This window comes from Homo sapiens, chromosome 2 (assembly GCF_000001405.40).
Source record: "Homo sapiens chromosome 2, GRCh38.p14 Primary Assembly".
Lineage (NCBI taxonomy): Eukaryota > Metazoa > Chordata > Mammalia > Primates > Hominidae > Homo > Homo sapiens.
The window spans coordinates 135,086,640-135,108,629 of NC_000002.12; the positions used below are offsets into that span (position 1 = coordinate 135,086,640).

At 38.0% G+C, this 21,990-nt stretch overlaps 1 protein-coding gene across 5 annotated transcripts in view, besides 2 other annotated features; it reads left to right on the forward strand.

Annotated features, from left to right (window-relative positions):
- Positions 1-21,990, forward strand: part of RAB3GAP1 (RAB3 GTPase activating protein catalytic subunit 1) — a 124,105-nt gene that overhangs the window by 34,348 nt on the left and 67,767 nt on the right. For all 5 annotated transcript variants that reach the window (XR_001738674.3, XM_011510823.4, NM_001172435.2 and 2 more), the window contains exons 4-5: positions 4,359-4,491; positions 6,976-7,054. Coding sequence is in view for 4 of the 5 variants with exons in the window: in XM_011510823.4 (XP_011509125.1) it covers positions 4,359-4,491; positions 6,976-7,054 (212 nt within the window). In the remaining variant the exon portion in view is untranslated. The remainder of the gene's footprint in view (positions 1-4,358; positions 4,492-6,975; positions 7,055-21,990) is intronic.
- Positions 5,173-5,317: an enhancer, noted in NCBI's record as "145 bp enhancer 203 fragment used in the MPRA reporter construct; PK_construct_2135". NCBI's record gives its function as "activates an SV40 promoter by MPRA in HepG2 cells {active_cell/tissue: HepG2}" and the evidence as "EXISTENCE:reporter gene assay evidence [ECO:0000049][PMID:23512712]".
- Positions 5,238-5,251: a transcriptional cis regulatory region, noted in NCBI's record as "HNF4 motif; enhancer activity is reduced when this motif is scrambled". NCBI's record gives its function as "necessary for full MPRA enhancer 203 activity {active_cell/tissue: HepG2}" and the evidence as "EXISTENCE:site-directed mutagenesis evidence [ECO:0005528][PMID:23512712]".

The window sequence follows — 21,990 nt, forward strand, 5'->3', positions numbered from 1 at the left end:
TAGTCCATTGCTTCCCCTAATCTTTTTTTTTTTTTTTTTTTTTTTTTCCTTAGAGATAGGGTCTTGCTTTGTCACCCAGGCTGGAGTGCAGTGGTACAATCATAGCTCACTGCAGCCTTAAACTCTTGGTCTCAAGTGATCCTCCTGCCTTAGCCTCCCTAAGTAGCTGGGACTACAGGTGCACACCACCATGCCTAGCTAATTATTTTGTAGAGACAGGGTCTTGTTGCCCAAGCTGGTCTCGAACTTCTGACTTCAAGTGATCCTCCCTGATGGACCTCCCAAAGAGCTGAGATGACAGGTGTGAGCCACTGTGCCCAGCCACCTAATCGTTTTCTTAACTGTGTCTTTTGATAAGCACAAATTTTATTTAGATGAAGTTCATTTTCTCTATTTTTAATTTTATTGTTAGTGCTTTTTGTGTCTGGTCAAAGGAATCTTTGCCTATCCCAAGGTATTTGCAAGATCCCAAGATATTCTCATGTTTTCTTCCATGTGAATATTTAATTATTCCAGCACCATTTGTTGAAAAGACTATTATTTCCCCCCTGAATTCCAGTAGCACCTCTGTTGTGAAGTCAAATGTAAGTGCGAATGTTATTTCTGGACTCTATTTCATTGATCTGTTTGTCTGTCTTTATGCCTATACTATACTGTCTTAATTATTGTAGCAAAGTGTTAAAATCAGGTAGTATACTTATTCATCAAAATTATTTTAGCTGTTCTAGGTTCTTTGGATTTTCATATTAGTTTTAAAATCAACTTGTCAATTTCTACAAAATGCCTGTTGCTGATGTTTTGATTGGGATCATGTTGAATATATAGATTAACTTGGGGAGAACTGGTGTGTTCACAGTGTTTTATCTTTCAATCCATGTATGTGATGTATCTCTATTAGGTCTTTAATATCTCTCTGCAGTGTTTTGAAGTATTTTAGGTAGAGTTTTTGCTCATCTTTCATTAAGTTTATTCCTAGATAATTTCTTTTTTTAATTGTAGTAAGGTATTTTTAAAACTTTCTCTTTCCAAGCATTTGTTGCTAGTATATAAAAATACAGATGGTTATTATATATTGACCTTGAATTTCATAACTTTGTAAACTCATCAGTTTTAGTCATTTGTTTGTAGATTCTTTTGGATATTCTACATACATGATCAGGTAATCTGTGAATAGGGACAGTTTTCTTTTAAATCTATACATTTATCTCTTTATTTTCTGGTTAGGATCCTCAAAGGTAATTTTTAATGAATTACTAGGTCAGTTTTGATGAACTAGAATTGTCATTTCGGTTCGCATAGCAGATACATGCCTTACTGGAACTTGGTATCAAGTGACTATATCCTAATGGAATTGAATATGGGATGTTAGAGTGTTGTTTATCAGTTGAGTCTGTTTTGGAGACAGAACTTGGATGCCTTGTCTTTATTGAATACAATCAGATCTTCCTCTAGATAGTTGTTGGTTAAGGTTGACAATAGTACCGGAATCCAGAATTAGGGACAGACAGTATCTCTGTATCATTTAAAAAGATTTACTGCAAACTTGAAAAAGGGATTTCTCTCTCCTTTTCTGGACTTTCTTTTACCTAGTTTTAGCCATAACTGCTTTATATTGGGCATTTCTTCTAGCAAAACAAGCTCTTATGTACATTATCATATTACTTACTGCCTCTTGAGACTTTGGTATACGCAGTTGATGCCTTGATTTAACACAGGTCAACCTCATGGTAAAGAAACCCACCCCACACAAAAAAAATTATGATTTTTGGCCAGGTGTGGTGGCTCATGCCTGTAATCCCAGCCCTTTGGGAGGCTGAGGTGGGCAGATGACTTGAGGTCAGGAGTTCAAGACCAGCCTGGCCAACATAGTGAAACCCTGTCTGTACTGAAAATTCAAAAATTAGCCAGGCGTGGTGGTGCATGCCTGTAATCCCAGCAACATGGGAGACTGATGCAGGAGAATCGCTTAAACTTGGGAGGCGGAAGTTGCAGTGAACCAAGATCGCACCACTGCACTCCAGCCTGGGTGACAGAGCGAGACTCCATCTCAAAAAAAAAAAAAAAAAAAAGAAAGAAAAGAAAAAAAATTAAAATTCTTTGCCCACTTTTTGATGGGGTTGTTTTTTCTTGTAAATTTGTTTAAGTTCTTTGTAGATTCTGGATCCATTAGCCCTTTGTCAGATGGATAGATTGCAAAAATTTTCTCCCATTCTGTAGGTTGCCTGTTCACTCTGATAATAGTTTCTTTTGCTGTGCAGAAGCTCTTTAGTTTAATTAGATCCCATTTGTCAATTTTGGTGTTTGTTGCCATTGCTTTTGGTGTTTTAATCAAGAAGTCTTTGCTAATATGCCTAGGTTTTCTTCTAGGGTTTCTATGGTTTTAGGTCTTATGTTTAAATCTTTAATCCATCTTAAATTAATTTTTGTATAAGGTATAAGGAAGGGGTCCAGTTTCAGTTTTCTGCATATGGCTAGCCAGTTTTCCCAGCACGATTTGTTAAATAGGGAATCCTTTCCCCATTGCTTGTTTTTGTCAGGTTTGTCAAAGATCAGATGGTTGTAGATGTGTCGTGTTATTTCTGACGCCTCTGTTCTGTTCCCTTGGTCTATATATCTGTTTTGGTACAAGTACCATGCTGTTTTGGTTACTGTAGCCTTGTAATGTAGTTTGAAGTCAGGCAGCGTGATACCTCCAGCTTTGTTCTTTTTGCTTAGGATTGTCTTGGCTATATTGGCGCTTTTTTGGTTCCATATGAAATTTAGTTTTTTCTAATTCTGTGAAGAAAGCCAGTGGTAGCTTAATGGGGATAGCATTGAATCTATAAATTCCTTTGGGCAGTGTGGCCATTTTCATAGTATTGATTCTTTCCATCCATGAGCATGGACTGTTTGTCCATTTGTTTGTGTCCTCTCTTATTTCCTTGCCTCAGCAATCCCATTACTGGGTATATACCCAAAGGATTATAAATCATTCTACTATAAAGACACAGGCACATGTATGTTTATTGCAGCACTGTTCACAACAGCGAAGACTTGAAACCAACCCAAATGTCCATCAATGACAGACTGGATTAAGAAAATGTGGCACATATAAACCATGGAATACTATGCAGCCATAAAAAAGGATGAGTTCATGTCCTTTGTAGGGACATGGATGAAGCTGGAAACCATCATTCTCAGCACTCTTAACACGGGAACAGAAAACCAAATGCTGCATGTTCTCACTCATAAGTGTGAGTTGAACAGTGAGAACACGTGGACACAGGGAGGGAAGCATCACACACTGGGACCTGTTGCGGGAGGGGAGGGCTAGGGGAGGGATAGCATTAGGAGAAATACCTAATGTAGATGACAAGTTGATGGTTGCAGCAAACCACTATGGCACGTGTATAGCTATGTAATAAACCTGCATGTTCTGCATGTGCATCCCAGAACTTAAAGTATAATAAAAAGATTATGATTTTGGATGTGTATCATACATGACAGTTCAAATACTAATGAAAAGATTGATATTTGATGTACTTACGTAATAATACACACTTAGGACACTTAAAATAAGATTTAATTTAATTTAGAATTATAAATATCTTTCCAGGAATATATATAAAAATTCAGATGTTTACACTAGGTATAGCCATGAAAACATTTTAAAAATAGTAACTCACAGATTAATTGCTTATATATTTTCAATCTAGTTTGGGGCTATCTGTGCTTGGCTAGTTGCTTGGTTGGTATTTCCTGCCTTATGTGGTGCTATGCTGTAATGACTGTTTACCTCTCCATTGGAAAAAATAGCTATGGGAGATTAGAAGCTCTGTGGGAAAAATCCTTTTTTATGCTTAGGGTTCTGTATAAGTAAGGAGCTCTTTGGAACTCTTAATTAATATATGTTTTTCATTCAAGAAGTTGCTGTTCAAATGGAAAGACTTGAATGCCAAAGCTTGATAAAAGAAGCAGGAATCTGTTAAATAAGTGCTACAGGTGTCATGCCACTTAAATTGATTGTGCAGACTGCTTCTTTATGAAGCAATTTCTGGTGTCAAAAAATGCTATATGCTGTATTATTAATATATAGTGATGTGTTCATGATTTTATATAGAGAATCTTGGAAAAAATTATTATTAATCTTTGTAAGTCACTTGATCGTTAATATTCTAGGAGAAATTTCTTTTTAAAGGAACACTGATAAATCATTTATAAAATAATTTTCTCTTGGTTGCATTCACTTTTATGTTTTTCTTTGATTGTATGGAGGATATTTATAGGGCAGAAAAAGGGGAAAATATCCCTGTCGTTAGTAAATATAATGATAGCTATTGATTAAGGTAAATATTTTGCCATTTTATTGGTACATATAGGGTATATTTACTTCTGGCACATGGGAAGAGAAATCAGATGAAATTTCCTTTGCTGACTTCAAGTTCTCAGTCACTCATCATTATCTTGTACAAGAGTCCACTGATAAAGAAGGAAAGGATGAGTTATTAGAGGGTAAGTTATTTCTATATAATAATATTAACTTCTGATTTGTAGGAGTGGCTGTAATTTTGAATTATTAATTTAGTGTTCTTCCATAGTGTCAGTTTCTCTGGAACTGTTTTACATAAGCAAAGTTGTTTCACCACATCTGAGGTAGAGGATGAATTACATTGTCATTCATTTTTTAATTAATTAAATCAGCTCATATTTATTGAGTACCTAACATGTACCAGATACTCTTCCAAGCCCTACATTCCAGTAGGGAAGATAAGATAGATAAGTAAGTAACCATAATGAAAGTGATAAGTGCATCCTGAAGTACAGACAAAATTCTGTTGGAATTCAGAGGAGAAAAGATCACTTTTAATTGGGAGATTAGAGAAGGAGAATTAAGCAAGTAAGTTTGGCTTTGAAGGATTACAAATAAAGGAAAATCTGTTGATTAGAGGGTAGTATTTTGGATTTACTCTAGATTTTGGAGTCAAAACAAGTGGTTTAAAATTTTATTTTTTCTACTTGCTAGTTAGTTGCCCCATCTAAGCTTGAGTTATCTCAGTTGTAAAATGAAGTAATACTACCTGGAGGGCTAAGTGAAGATTTAATGAGAAATTGTACATAAGCAAGTATCTCAGTACCTGACCCATGCCAGGTACTCAATAAATGGTGTCTATAATTGTTAATAGGTCAAATCATCCAAAATCTTCTGTCCTTAGATAAACTAGTGCATAACAGTGAGTGAGCAAGATACTGAATAAACATGAACTTTGGAGCTGCCAGTCAAATATCCTTCTTCATTCACTAAGCAAATAAATAGGTAGAATGTGTTAAATTTTTTCTGATCATAACAGATTATCATTTGTAAGCTCAGACCTGAAAAAATCTGTGCTTTTTCTTGTGTAGGAATAGAATTTTGTTACCTTTTCTGTTACGTATATTCTTCTTAGAAACAAAACAATTAGATAACATATGCATTCAGATTCATAAACCAGGGCAGATAACATTAACCATATATACATATATGTAAGGCAGTTATACAGCAAAAGAAAATAATTAAGCCAGAATGTGAATATGAGAACTTTAAGAGGAAGAGGGAAGTGTGCGCAATTGTTGGGAGGTCTCATAATAGCCCAGCAATTTTCAGGTTCAACGTTCTGCCAATTAATGAAGGAAACTATTCAAGATAGCGAAAATTTAAGTGCTGTTAATTTAAGGGAAGATCATGCATCAAGGAAAAGCTGCTGTAGTAAAGAGGCTTAGAATCAGTGCTCTGAGATAAATAGATAAAGGAGACTGTGGTACAATGAAGGTGAATTATTTTTTTGTTTGTTTGTTTTTGAGACTGAGTTTCACTCTTGTTGTCCAGGCTGTAGGGCAATGGCGCGATCTCAGCTCACTGCAACCTCCGCCTCCCGGGTTCAAGCAAATCTCCTGCCTCAGCTTCCAAAGTTGCTGGTATTACAGGCACCAATCACCATACCCAGTTAATTTTTTGTATTTTTAGTAGAGACAGGGTTTTGCTGTGTTGACCAGGCTGGTCTTGAACTCCTGACCTCAGGTGATCCACCTGCCTCGGCCTTCCAAAGTGCTGGGATTACAGGCGTGAATCACTGTGCCCAGCCAAAGGTGAATGAATTTTAAGCTAGTTAAGGCATTGTTGCAAGTGTACATATAAAGTGCAGTTTTCTTTTAATTTGATTGTGATTGAGCCTGTAACTTATGGTGGGAGTTACAAGCCAAACCATCAGCTCAGTTTTACAGATACGCGTTTAAAACTATATTATCAGAGGTCAGGAGATTTGAGCACTAATCATTTATGTTATCAGCATTGTCTATTGCTTTTGGTCTGAAAAGCACCAAATCATTAGCATTCTCTTTAGTCTTTTAGCAAAATAAAAAGTATAGATCTGCTAAGCAATGATAGCTATACAACAAAAATTATTTTTGTGAATGGATACTATTTTTAATGCATTGAATTTGTCATGTATTTATGGGTATAATGATCTTTTATGTTAGTACCTTATCGTGGATAGTAATTTAAGTGTGTAAACATAGTTTAGAAGTGGGAAGCCAGGTAGAAGTTTTACAAGAACATTTAAGATGGACAGGGGGCCTAAAAAGGCTTGCTATGGGAGGTTATACAGAGTTGACATATCTCTAAATAGAATGTTGAAGAAAAGTAGAGGCAAGGACAGGCTAAGAAGAATAAATAAAGCTTTCTGGTAAGTGTGAGGAATTGTGTGAGTTGTGACTCAGAAGCAAAAAAATATTTTAAACATGGGAGTGGCATATGTCTTTTTTATAGGCTACTTTTATTTGAAGAAAAAAAAATGAGAGAGAAATCCCTCTCCCTGTACTCAAGAGCTATCTTTAGATATGAATCTTAAAGCAATATCAAAACTGCATGATCTAGCAAGACATGTGTTTCCTCAAAGCATGTTATAAAACTCTGCCTGATCATGAACATACTAACTTTTTCATTATCAAATGTTTTTGTAGATGTTGTTCCACAATCTATGCAAGATTTGCTGGGTATGAATAATGACTTTCCTCCAAGAGCACATTGCCTGGTAAGATGGTAGGTATATCTTTTACTCAGTATCTTTTAGTATGTGTGTTGCGGGGGACCTCAACACTGTCCCCAAGTTCAGTGATTTGCTAAGAAGACTCAGAGGACTCAGCATTTAATTGCAGCTGATTTATTGCAGAGACAGGATACAGGGCAAAATCTGCAAAGGGAAAAAACACATGAGGCAAAGTCCAGAGGAAGTACAAGCTTTTAAGAATCCTTTCCTAATGGAGTCAGGCAAGATGTACTCAGTTCCCTCAGCAACAAATTGTGACAAAGTATGTGAAACATTGTCTATCAGGGACAGTGTTAGAGGCTCAGCGCCCCAGGTTTTTAATTAGGGGGCTGGTCATATAAGCACCCTTTAACTGGTATATACCAAAATTTCAGGCTCCCAGAAGGAAAGCAGGTGTTCGGCATAAATTACATTGTTTGCATAAACAATTTAGGCTTAGTGAGCAGCTTAATCAGTTCTGGGAATGGTGAGAACCCTCCCCAAATCCCATTTCCCAGCTGTTGGCCAAGAGTTAACCTTGCAAGCAGGCTTTTCTTTTCTTTTTTATTTTTTTGGTTTGTTTTTTCTTTCAGTTTTTTTGTTTTTAATTATTGTAGATATATAGTAGTTTTACATATGTAATAGTTGTACATATTTATCTTTTTTTCAAAAGAAATGATAAATGCTTGAGGTGATGGATTCCCCAATTAAACGTTCCAATTCCATTCTTTTATTTATCTTGACATATACAACAAATTATTGTTAACTATAGGCACCCTATTTTGCTACTGAATGCTAGATCTTACTTTTTCTATCCAACTGTATTTTTGTCCCATTAACCATCCCCTCTTTATGCCCTGCTCCCCATTACCCTTCTAAGCCTCTGGTAATTCTACTTAGAGATATGTCAACTCTGTATCACCTCCCATAGCTAGCCTTTTTAAGCCTCCTGGCCATCTTAAATCTTCTTGTAAAACTTCTACCCAGCTTCCCACTTCTAACCCATGTTTACACACTTAAATGACTATCCATAAGACACTAACATCATTCTATTCTCTTATCTCCGTGAGTTCAGTTTGTTTGTTTTTTTAGCTCCCACATATTAGTGAAAACGTGCAATACTTGTCTTTCTGTGCCTGGCTTATTTCACTTAAATGTCTTTCAGTTCCTTCTATGCTCTTGTAAATGACAGGATTTCATTCTTTTTTATGGCTGAATAATATTATATTGTGTATATGTACCACATTTTCTTTATTCATTCATCTATTGATGGGTACTTAGGTTGATTCCATATCTTGGTTATTGTGAATAATGCTGTAGTAAACATGGGAGTGGAGATATCCCTTCAGTATACTGATTTCCTTTCTGCAAGCAGGCTTTTTTTTGTGAAACAGAGTCTCACTCTGTCGCCCAGGCTGGAGTGCAGTGGCGTGATCTCGGCTCACTGCAACCTCTGCCTCCCAGGTTCATGTCATTCTCCTCCCTCAGGCTCCCAAGTAGCTGGGACTACATGTGTCCACCACCACACCCAGCTGATTTTTTGTATTTTTAGTAGAGACGGGGTTTCACTGTGTTAGCCAGGATGGTCTCGATCTCCTGACCTCGTGATCCGCCCGCCTCGGCCTCCCAAAGCGCTGGGATTATAGGCGTGAGCCACCGCGCCCGGCCGCAGGCAGGCTTTTTTAAGGATAGCGGTCACAGGCCTGCTGGTTCATCTTTTCTGCACAATGTATTTCATAATCCAGGGTAGTGCTTAACTGTAGTCTCATGACAAGCATGGAACATTTAAATATCATAGAAATTTTAATACATATTATTGAATATTGAAATGAACTCAATATGTTGGATGTTGATCTGTTATGTGATAAAATCAAAACTCACTGTGTCTAAACTATAAATGTGATACATTAATGTAAGAGGTACAATCTTACCCCTCTTATCTGTGGTTTTGCTTTCTGCGGTTTCAGTTACCTGTGGTCAAGTGTAGTCTGAAAATATTAAATGGAAAATTTCAGGCAAAAACAACAAGTTTTAAATTGTATGCTGTTCTGAGTAGTATGGTGAAGTCTTAGGCCATTCTGTCCTGGAAGTGAATCATGCCTTTGTCCAGTGTATCTACAATGTATACACTACCTGCCCCTTAGGCACTTAGTAGTCATCTTGGTTATCGGATTGACAAATCACAAGAAGAAGGGTGAGTATAGTACAATAAGATATCTTGAGAGAGAGAGAGAGAGACCACATTTATATAACTTTTATTACAAAATATTGTCGTAACTGTTCTATTGGTACTATATATAGGAAAAAACAGTACATACAGGCTTTGATACCATCTGCAGTTTCAAGCATCCACTAGGGGTCTTGGAACTTACCTTCCACAGATAAGGAGGGACTATTTACATCACATTTAAAAGGTCTCTTCTGTCTTTTTCAGTTATTCCAAGTGTCTGTGAACTTTATTTATTTTGGATGGAGTGGTCTTAGAACAAACTACCACCAAAATGGCCCTAGTAAAGAGTATATATTTAAGAAAGGAGACCTAGTTAAAGGAAGTTTACATACTGGTTTGAAATTATTCTATTGTTATCAGTTGGTCTTTTGATTTTTTTAAATTAAAGAATTCTAAGGTAGGGGAAAATGACATTAATCTGTGTTTATCTTTTTCTTCATTTCATATAGCAAATAGGCTGTGTAGCACTTTTAAAAAAGAAAATTATTTGCAAATGCAGGTAAACGGGATAGTGTTTCATAAATATTCCTCTTTTAGTATGACCTTTTAAAAATTGTTCACTTAAACAACTAAAAAAGAAATGTAATAATTATATCTATTAAATTTAATTTAATCCTTCCACATTCCGTTCTGGCCTTTTAAAATATGAATATATACATTTAATGTGACTAAATTTATCAGAAGGCAGCATAGTATCAGAGCATGAGCTTTGTATGCATTAATTCATTCAACATTAATTGAACACTTACTTACTGTTTGGCTATATACTGAATTAGGTTTAATTCCTAACTCAGGTACTTAGTATCTCTGCAACTTTGGGCAAGTTACTTAATTTCTTGTAGTTTGTTTCTACACTGGTAAACTAAGAATAATAAATAATATGCACTTCCAGAGTAGTTATGAGGATCAAATAAGATAATGGCGCCTAGTATGTTTATCAAAATCTAAATGCTATTAACATGATTTCAGCCTTTTGGTATGTATTTCCTCACTGTTACATAGTTTGTGGTCAAAATATTAAATGAAGTAATGAAACCTTTCTATATATTAATATAAATAACTTGTTAGTAGGGTGGTTTTTGTAACCTTTCCATTTACTTTTAAAAATATTTTTAAAATCAACGTAGTAAAATTGGACTTTTTGTGGAGGTGAGCAGTTCTCTGAACTTCAACACTTTATATAGTTTTTTACTAGTATCAAAATCAGGAGATAGAACAGTTCTATAACACCCCCTCACCTCTGCTGCCAAAAAAAAAGCCCTATTGTCCCTTTTGTCTCTTAGTAAGCATAGGCACGTCCTTCCCACTTTTTTTTTTTTTTTTAAAGAGACAGGTCTTACTCTGTCACCCAGGCTGGAATACATTGATGCAATCATGGGTACTGTAGCCTTGAACTCCTGGGCTCAAGTGATCCTTCTGCCTCAGCCCCTTGAGTATCTAGAACTACAGGTGCACACCACCATGCCCGGCTAAGTTGGGTTTTTTATTTTTTGTTGAGACAGTGTCTTGCTATGTTGCCTGGGCTGGTCTTAAACTCCTGGCCTCAAGTGATCCTCCCACCTCAGCCTCCCAAAGTACTGGGATTATAGGTGTGAGCCACTGTACCTGACCACACTCTCGACATCCTTATAATCCCTGGAATCCCTGATCTTTCTTGGTCACTATAGTTTTGTCTTTTTGAGAGTGTCATATAAATAGAATTCTACTGTATGTAAATAGAATTCTACTGTATGTGACCATTGGTGACTGGCTTTTAAAACAGCATGGTGCCTTTGAAATCCTTTGAGGTGATTCTGCTTATCAATAGTTTGTTCCTTTTTATTGCTGAGTAGTATTTTATTGTAAGGATATACCAAGCTGTTTATTCAGTCATTTGTTGAGGGTTATTAGGATTGTTTTTAGGTTTTGGCATTTTTAAATAGAGCTATACTATAAATATTTGTATACAGATTTTTGTGTGAAAACACATTTTCAGTTCACTCGGGTAGATACCTAGAGTAGTATTGCTAAGTCATGTGGTAAGTGTATGTTTATAGGAAACTGCAAAACATTTCTAGAGTAGTTGTACCATTTTGCATTCCCACCAACAATGTATGAAAATTCCAGTTTCTACATCCTTACCAGCACTTGGTATTGTCAGTATTTGTTTTTAGCCATTCTTAGTAGGTGCATAGTGGTATCCTAATTTTAATTTTGAACATCTTTCGTGTGTTTATTTGTCCATTTATATCTTCTCTGTATTAACAGTGTCCAAGTCTTTTGCACATGTTTTAATTGGGTTGTTTGTTTTCTTTTTTGGGGGTGGGGGTTGTTTGTTTTCTTACTGTAAAGTTTTGAGAGTTCGTTGTATACTTTGGATGTAAATCTTTTTTATAATGTGTGATTTCCAAAAATTTTCTAGAAAAGACAGCACTAAGAGAAATGAAAAGATTATCTGTAACAGATAAGACTGTAACTTATCTTTTAATTTCTCTTAATATGTCTTTTCTAGAACAAAAGTTATAAAATTGAATGAAGTTCAGTTTTATCAATTTTTAATTTTAGGGATTGTGCTTTTGGTGCCATGTCTGAGGACTTTTTGCTCTAGGTCACAAATCTTTCTCCTATTAAAAAATTATTTTATTTTGGAATTATTCAAAATCTGAGGGTGAAAGCAGCTGTTTATGGATGCTGGGGATGGTGGTAGCAGATCCATTACCCAGCTGGCAAAAGGGGTGGCAGTGGCCTGTAATATTCTTTCCAAAAACCCCTAATCCCAATATATCCATTTTGATATTTAGATGTTACCTGATTTCTTTCAGCAGTGTCTTACAGTTTTCAGCACAAAGATCCTGTAAATGTTATATATTATGTTTCTACTTGTTGCTTTCTTATAAAGGAGCTATTGTAATGATATTATTTAAAAAATTTTTCATTTCCAGTTGTTCGTTTCTAGTATGTAGGAATATGGCTGATTTTGAGGGGTTAACCTTGTATCCTGTAACCTTGCTAAACACAATGACTAGTTCTAGGAGTTGTCATTTCTTTGGGATTTTCTATATATACAATCACTGTCTCTGAATATGGATAGTATTATTTCTTTTCTAATCTCTGTGCTTTTTTAAAAATATGTATTACAAGATACCATGAAGCAGTCTGTTCATTTTTTTTTTCTGTTTAAAACTGGCTAGGGCTTCCAGTAAAATATTGAATAGGAGTTGCTTATCTCAGGGGGACAGCATTTAGTCTTTTACTGTTAAGTGTGATGTTAGCTGTAGGTTTTTTCGTAGATGCTCTTTATCAGATTGAGAAAATTCCCTTTTGTTCCTGCTTTGCTGAGAGTTTTTATTATGAATGGATGTTGAATTTTGTCAAATCCTTTTTCTGTTTAAATTGATATGATTGTTGTTTTCTGCTTAAATTGATATGATTTATTTTCTTTAGATTTTTAATATGTTGATTGCATTGACTGATTTTTGGATATATAACCAGCTTTGCATTCTCAAGATAAACTCCACTTCTTTGTGGTGCAATTTGTATTTCTGTGTGTGTGTGTGTGTGTGTGTGTGTGTGTGTGTATGTATGTGTATTGCTGTATTTGATATGCTAATAGTTTGTTGAGGACTTCAGTGTCTATGTTCATGTGGGATGTTGGTCTGTAATTTTCTTTTCTCCTGCTTTGGTTTTGGTATCAGAGTAATGTTGGCCTTATAATGTGAGTCAGAAAGTATTTTGTTCTCTTTTATTTTCTTTGAGAGAGTGTAAAATTTTTTTTTTTTTAACCGTTTGATAGAATTTGCCTTTGAAACTTTCTGAGCCTGGCATTCTCATTTTATTGAGGTGGCAATTCCTTCTAGGGTCCAGGATGTAAGCAGAAGTCTCAGTTCCAGTACCTTGTCTCATGTATACCCATATCCCTGAGAGGTCATTCAAAACATTACAACCTCTGTAGTGATTTGGATTGATGGAGTAAATCTAAATATAAAGGATACAGAAGGAAGCTTGTGCGTTTAGGTTATATAGCAGAGAGATTGGTAATCTCATCAGAAAGATAGGCAGCTTCCAAGTCCCAGGGCCTCGTAAGCAGAGGCACAGTTATGGATGATGATATCTGAGTGATATTGTGCTTCTGGAAGCCTAGTTTCTGGGTGTAGACTTATTTATATTTATTATTATGAGACTGGGGCATTCTTGGACATAGCCTAATCTGGATGCATGCCAGAGACCACTTTCCCTGGGCTGGGTGTACCTTATCATCTCAGAGTTATATAATTCACATTATGACTGCTAGGCTAAAATACATGGTATTGTCAGACGTAAACAGACTTTTCTTCCATCATTCTTGTTCTCTTCAGTCTAGCACAGCATAGTCAGTTTTGCAAACAGTTTTATAAGTCAAACTAACAGACTTTCAGCAGTAAAAGGCTTACCCTATAAAATCCCAGCTCCCAGTGCCCAGCTGTTAGGGCCTATAGCCAAAGCTGATCATCCCCTGGTATTTTTCAGTCACCTTCTATGCTCGCTTTTGCCTTTCAGTATACTCTTTGTTTCTGTTACCCAGGAATCTCCTTTTTATTATTTCAAATTCAGCGGTGTATTTTGACAGCATTGTCATATTTGATCAGGTATTTCTGTGTGTTTTGGGACAAGGAGGGCCTGTGTCATGTTAGTTTGCCGTATGGTTGGAAGTCACTTTCAGTTTTGTCTTACTTGACCTTTCTTAAAGTTTAGGAAGCCAACAACAAAGCTTTTGAGAACTGTTTAAAAGTTAAGCATATTAAATGTATGTGTATTTTCTTTTATTCAACAAATATAATTTTTAAACATTTACTGTGATCCAGATACAGAAATATCAAGAATAAAACATGGTTACTGCCTTAGTAATCTATGGGATTAATAGATAAGGGAGTAGACAACAATAACATTTTGTGATAAATGCTCTCATAGGAGGCAGAACACAAGTTTGATGGAAACTCATAGGAGGTACCTGTAATTCAGACAGATTAAGTCAGGAAAATGTTTCCAGACAAGGTGATACCTCACATGAATCCTGAAAGACAAGTGAGAATAAACCAGGTGAATAAGCTTAATTAATAAGTTAGGTAAAAAGATACTTGAGGCAGAATTAGTAGAGGTGATGATGTTTAAATGCACTTTTGAAACTTGTAGGTAGTTTGGTAAGGTTGGGTATAGCAGTAGAGGGTTGGGAATGGGAAAAGATGAGAAGGACTTTGGTATGTGGGTATTTTAAGACTAATGTGAACCAGACATCTTAAGAGGATTTCATAATATTCTCCTTCTGTTTTATTCATATAATTTTTATTGTAATTGTTAATAAATACATTTCTCAAAAATTTCAAGGATACAGATTACTTGTAATGCTTCAGAGATACTGAAGAATAACATACACAGAAGTTTTCACCTAAACATTTATTTAAATTTGAATTTTAAAAAGTTAAACCAGAATTAAAGCAATGACAATGAAAATTTGAAAACGATTTTGCAATATATGCATCTGTACTTATTTATACCATAAATATACAATTAGTATAGGTTGACCCTGTCAGAGTGATTTAAAATTACTATATGATTAACTTATATTTTCAAATCAAATTCTAGAAAATAGATTTTTGGGATTTATGTCCAATGCTCAATTTTGGTAGTTCGAGTTTGTCTATTAATCTTTATCTATTTTAAGATCTTCTCGTTTCAGTTTTCATATCAAGCACCTCTCAGATTAGCTCCAAGCCTGTTTAACTTTGTTAAGGGACTTTTATAAAAGTGGACTTTAAAAGATATGTGGGCATGATCAATTTTATGTTCTTGGCAATGTAATTGATCTTAATGATGTGTTTTGCTGGATGTATTTCAGCCTTCTGATATACCTATCCTTTAAATACTTTTCTTTTTTTATTTTCTTTAAATATCTTCTAGTGGGTGTTTCCTGAAACCATCATTACAGATTTATTCTCTTGATTGTTATGCTTCATGATAATATAAATAGCCCTGGAAATGACACAGACTTTAACCGTAGCAAACATTTATGTCCAAATGGAAATTCATGAGCAGAGATTTTAATAGCAAGGTGTGGTAGGCAAGATAATGAACCCTGCTAGCCCCCAGAGATGGTCCACAACCTAAATCTTAGAACCTGTGGATATAAGTTATGTGGCAAGAGGAATTAAGGGAGCATTAACATTAACATTGCTTAGCAATAGACTTTAAGGTAGGGAGATTTATCCTGGATTATCTGGGTGGACCCAGTATAATCACAGGAGTTCTTAAAAGTGGAAGAGGGAGACAGAGGAGAGTTAGTGTCATAGCGGTATGAGAAGAACTTGGTCCCAGTAATGTAGGTTTTTAAGATGGAAGAAGAGGGCCATGAGCCAAGTAATGAGGGTAAGCCTCTAGAAACTGGAATGGGTTCTGCGCTAGAGCATCCCGAAGGGACACAGCCTTGCAGCTACCTTGAATTTAGCCTTGTGAGACCTGTTTCAGACTTCTGACCTGCAGAACTATAAGATGATCAATCTGTGTTTTTTTAAGTCACCAAATTTGTAGTAATTTATTACAGCAGCAATATGAACTAATACAGAAAGTAACAGCATGAAAGCTGTAGATGCCTGGAGAGGCTCTACTGAGAGTGGAACAATACACTGAAAGCACAGCTAGGTTTAAGGGAGGACACATTTTGTCCCCATGGCTCTGCCTTTGTTGAGCGTTGTCTTTGGGTCTTTAGCTTTAGTCATGCTTTATTGGTCACCACAAAGGAACAGTCCACAAATAATCTTGTGAAAACTGTGTAGTTGAATAATTATTATGGCTTTTAAGAAATATTCATTTTTGTCTGGGCACGGTGGCTCATGCCTGTAATCCCAGCACTATGGGATGCCAAGGCGGGCGGATCACGAGGTCAGGATTTCGAGACCAGCCTGGCCAACATAGTGAAACCTCGTCTCTACTAAAAATAACAAAAATTAGCCGGGCGTGGTGGCGCACACCTGTAGTCCCAGCTACTTGGGAGGTTGAGGCAGGAGAATTGCCTGAACCCGGTAGGCAGAGGTTGCAGCAAGTCAAGATCGCACACCAGACTGGGCGACAGTGCGAGACTCCGTCTGAAAAAAAAAAAAAAAAATCATTTTTGTGATTTTTTTTTTTTTTTTTTTTGAGACGGAGTCTCGCTGTATTGCCAGGCTGGAGTGCAGTGGCGAAATCTTGGCTCACTGCAACCTCTGCCTCCTGGGTTCAAGCAGTTCTCCTGCCTCAGCCTCCCGAGTAGATGGGATTACAGGCATATGCCACCAAGCCTGGCTAATTTTTAGTATTTTAGTAGAGATGGGGTTTCAATGTGTTGCCCAGGCTGGTCTTGAACTCCTGAGCTCAGGCACTCTGCCCACCATGGCCTCCCAAAGTGCTAGGATTACAGGCACGAGCCACCGTGCCCAGCCTTATTTTTGTGACTTTAATGTATTTTTTTCCTGGTAATAGAGATACATGTAAAAGAACCTGACAGTTTTGAGAAACCAGCATTTTAGACTAGCCCTAAGGACCTGTAAAGTGTTTTCATTCTTCCAAAAGTGAATGTTAAGAGGACTTCTTGTAATGGCAGTGTGAAGTGGTTAGTGATTCCTCTTTGCTAAAGGGGAATTTTTTTAAAAGGCATTAAACTGGACAGAACTGTCAAAAAACAACCATTTCTGGCTCCTCTTCCTGTAGCTGTTTCTGTCACCTCCCCTCTTCTCTCTAATCTATGTTGGTGATAACTGAGCTTTCTAGTCTAGGCTGGCCATGAAAATACCACCTCTGTTGCCAGATGAGCAGGTTTAATTCTTTGTTGGCGGGGGAGGGAAGGTACAAAAACTTTTGCCTTTGCCAAGCAAAAGGAACAGATTCTGTTGGGAACAGATGGGTAAAACCTGTACCTTTGTTAGACCAAGGTTGCAGTCCCAATTCGAGGCAAGTGATGGATTAGTCAAAAATTTAACAAGGAGATCTTGTATTACAGCCATAGAAAGACAGATACCCTCTCTACACATCCGTAGATGACAGGAAAACTACATATATGCAGGAGAGACCCAGCAGAGCTCAAACTGGAGTGCCAGTTGCAATTTTGAATGCATTCCCCAACCCACACACAGATCATTTAGCAGAAAGTGAAAGGAAAACCTTATAGGCTCAGGTGTTTGGGCATGATCTGTGCTCAAATTATTGGTTTACCTGCAAACTATACAGACAAGAGGTAGCTGCTAGAGAGCCAGGCTAAAACATTGAAAATAAGAATAAAGCAATGGAATAGAGATATCAGAGGCTGCACACTGTTGAGGAGACAGTTTCCTCAGTGTAAGTCCAGGCAAGTTATGAAATACAAACAAATTGAAAAAGCTAACAACCCTCAGAAAAGTTAAACAGAATATGGTCTTGCTACAATGTATTATCAAAATATAGAGTTTTCAACCACAAATTACTAGATGTACAATGAAACAGAAAAGTGTGACCCATACAAGGGGAAAAAATAGTAGAAATGGACTCTTAGTGGGTCTAGATATTAGATTTAGCAATAACATCAAAATATTTATTACAAGTATGTTGAGAGAATTGAAGGAAAGGGTTTTCAAAGAAATACTAACAGTGAGTTACATAGGAATCTCAATAAATAGAAACTGTAATAAAGAACCAAATGGCGGCCAGGCGTGGTGGCTCATGCCTGTAATGCCACCATTTTGGGAGGCTGAGGTGGGCAGATCACTTGAGGTCAAGAGTTCAAGACCAGCCTGGACAACATGGTGAAACCCTGTCTCTACTAAAAATACAAAATAAATAAATAAATAAATAAATAAATAAATAAATAAAATTAGCTGGGTGTGGTGGTATGTGCCCATGGTCTCAGCTACTCAGGAGGCTGAGATAGGAGAATCACTTGAACCCAGGAGGCGGAGGCCGCAGTAAGTTGAGATACTGCCACGGCACTCCAGCCTGGGCAACAGAGCGAAACTCCATCTCAAAACAAACAAACAAACAAAAAAACAAATGGAAACTCCAGAGTTGAAAAGTATAATTGAAATGAACTTTCTTCACATGGGCTCAAAAGCAGATCTGAGATGATAGAAGAAAGAGTTGGGGGATTTGAAAGATTAACAGAAATTGTCCAGTCCAAAGAACAGAGAAAAAAGTTTGGAGAAAAAACAGAACTTCTGAGATCTGTGGGTCAGTGTCAAGTGTTCCAAAGCATGCATGTAATGGGACTCCCAGGTGAAGAGAAAGAAAGTGGTAGAAAAACAAATGTGAGCTCTCCCTCTCCCTCTCCCTCTCCCCCTTCCCTCTCCCCCTCCCCCTTCCCCCTCCCGCTCCCCCCTTCCCCCTCCCCCTCTCTCCATGGTCTCCCTCTGATGCCAAGCCGAACCTGGACTGTACTGCCGCCATCTCGGCTCACTGCAACCTCCCTGCCTGATTCTCCTGCCTCAGCCTGCCGAGTGCCTGGGATTGCAGGCACGTGCCACCACGCCTGACTGGTTTTCGTATTTTTTTGGTGGAGACGGGGTTTCACTCTGTTGGCCGGGCTGGTCTCCAGCTCCTAACCGCGAGTGATCTGCCAGCCTCGGCCTCTGGAGGTGCCGGGATTGCAGACGGAGTCTCGTTCACTCAGTGCTCAATGTTGCCCAGGCTGGAGTGCAGTGGCGTGATCTCGGCTCGCTACAACCTCCACCTCCCAGCCGCCTGCCTTGGCCTCCCAAAGTGCTGAGATAGCAGCCTCTGCCCGGCCGCCACCCCATCTGGGAAGTGAGGAGCGTCTCTGCCTGGCCGCCAATCGTCTGGGATGTGAGGAGCCCCTCTGCCTGGCTGCCCAGTCTGGGAAGTGAGGAGCGCCTCTTCCCAGCCGCCATCCTGTCTAGGAAGTGAGGAGCGTCTCTGCCTGGCCGCCCATCGTCTGAGATGTGGGGAGCGCCTCTGCCCCGCCGCCCCGTCTGGGATGTGAGGAGCACCTCTGCCCAGCCGCGACCCCATCTGGGAGGTGAGGAGCATCTCTGCCCGGCCGCCCCGTCTGAGAAGTGAGGAGCCCCTCCGCTCGGCAGCCGCCCCGTCTGAGAAGTGAGGAGCCCCTCCGCCCGGCAGCTGCCCCGTCTGAGAAGTGAGGAGCCCCTCCGCCCGGCAGCCGCCCCATCTGGGAAGTGAGGAGCGTCTCGGCCCGGCAGCCGCCCCATCCGGGAGGTGGGGGTCAGCCCCCGCCCTGCCAGCCGCCCCGTCCAGGAGGTGGGGGGTGCCTCCGTCCGGCCGCCGCCCCGTCCGGGAGGTGGGGGGTGCCTCTGCCCGGCGGCCCCTTCTGGGAAGTGAGGAGCCCCTCTGCCTGGCCGCCACCCCGTCTGGGAGGTGTACCCAACAGCTCATTGAGAACGGGCCATGATGACAATGGCGGTTTTGTCGAATAGAAAAGGGGGAAATGTGGGGAAACGATAGAGAAATCAGATTGTTGCTGTGTCTGTGTAGAAAGAAGTAGACATAGGAGACTCCATTTTGTTCTGTACTAAGAAAAATTCTTCTGCCTTGGGATGCTGTTAATCTATAACCTTACCCCCAACCCGTGCTCTCTGAAACGTGCTGTGTCCACTCAGGGTTAAATGGATTAAGGGCGGTGCAAGATGTGCTTTGTTTAACAGATGCTTGAAGGCAGCATGCTTCTTAAGAGTCATCACCACTCCCTAATCTCAAGTATCCAGGGACACAAACACTGCGGAAGGCCGCAGGGTCCTCTGCCTAGGAAAACCAGAGACCCTTGTTCACTTGTTCATCTGCTGACCTTCCCTCCACTATTGTCCTATGACCCTGCCAAATCCCCCTCTCCGAGAAACACCCAAGAATCATCAATAAATACTAAAAAAAAAAATAAAAAAATAAAAAAGTAAAAAAAAAAGCAAGCTGAAAAAAAAAAGGAAAAACAAATGTGAAGAAATAATGGCTGAGAATTTTCCAAATTTGATTAAAAACACTCAGAACTGGAAGTCTTAGTGAATCTTAAGTAGGATAAACACAAAAGAGAACCACCCCTAGACATAGTATGGGCAACCTGCTGAATACCTTAGATGGAAAGAAAATCTTATAGGCAGCAAGAGAAAAATGACTTCTCATGTACTAGAGAACAATACCCTTGGCTGACTTCTCATCAGAAACAGTGGAGGCCAGAGGGCAGTGCAATGACACAAAGTTCTGAAAGGGAGAAAAAAAAAAAAAAACCACTGTTGACCAAGAATTCTATATCCAGTGAAACTATATTTCAAAAATAAAGATGAAATAATGACATTCTTATGTAAACAAAGATTGGCAGAATTCATCCTTGCCTTACAAGTAATACTAAAAGACATAGAGGGTAACTTGAATCCATAGAAAAGAATGAAGAGCATTGGAAATACTCTAGTAAATACAATAAATATATTCTCATAATTTAAAAAAAGCGTAAGATTGCTTAAGCAATAATGACAGCACTATATTGTTGGGTTTATAACATATGTAATATGTAATATATATGACAATATTGCACAAAGGAAGGGGGAAGGAATGGAGTTATACTATATAAAATTGGTAGATTTTACTAGAATAACCTGAATAGATTATAAATTAAAGATGTGTATTATAATATCTAAAAAAGTTACTAAAAATAAATTCAAAAAATGAATTGTTTGAGCACCTCCAGTTACCCAGGTATTTTTGTAAGTGATAGATATTTAACTTTTTTATACCATTTTTTTAAAGAGGTCCTTAATCTATTTCTTTCTAAGGTAATATATGTGAGAGTTGTAGAATGGTAGCATTCAAAGTAAGTGGTATGGCTGGGTGCGGTGGCTCACGCCTGTAATCCCAGCACTTTGGGTGGATCACGTGGTCAGGAGATCGAGACCATCCTGGCTAACATGGTGAAACCCCGTCTCTACTAAAAATACAAAAAAATTAGCCAGGTGTGGTGGCACATGCCTGTAATCCCAGCTACTCAGGAGGCTGAGACAGGAGAATCACTTGAACCTGGGAGATGGAGGTTGCAGTGAGCCGACATTGTGCCATTGCACTCCAGCCTGGGCAAGAAGAGTGAAACTCCATCTCAAAAAAAAAAAAAAAAAAAAAAAAAAACTACACAAAATAAGTGGTATGGTTTTATGATTTGCCTATGTGAGAGTAACAACAAATATATCAAATATTGGTTAACTTTTTGTTGTTGTTACTTTTGATCTTTATTGGTACAGGAAAGAAAAATGCATCTTAAAACAAAAATGAATGGTTGATTGTCCTACCTTTCTCATTTGGAGGATGGGATGCTAAAGCACATTTATATTTAAATATAGTATTTAGTATACATATGCAATCTGTTATTCAGATGAAACAGTTCTTTCATTAAGAAGTGCAATTGTGACATTTTAATTTGTGTTGATACATTTGATCTCCTAATAAATTTAAGTTACTGGGCTAGAAATTGTAGGAAATATAATGATTTATTAATGAAACTCACCCTAGTAGGTATGTAGTGGTCTCTCACTGTTTTAATTTCACTTCCCTGATTACATGTGATATGGAACATCTTTTCATACGCTTGTTTGCTATCTTTATATCTTCTTGGGTGAGGTGTCTGGTTGAAGTCTTTGGGGCTTTTTTTTTTTTTTAGCTTCGATTATGTTCTTATTTTTGAGTTTTAAGAGTTCTCTGTAGATTCTAGATAACAGTCCTCTATCTGAAATGTCTTTTGCAAATATTTTCTCCCAG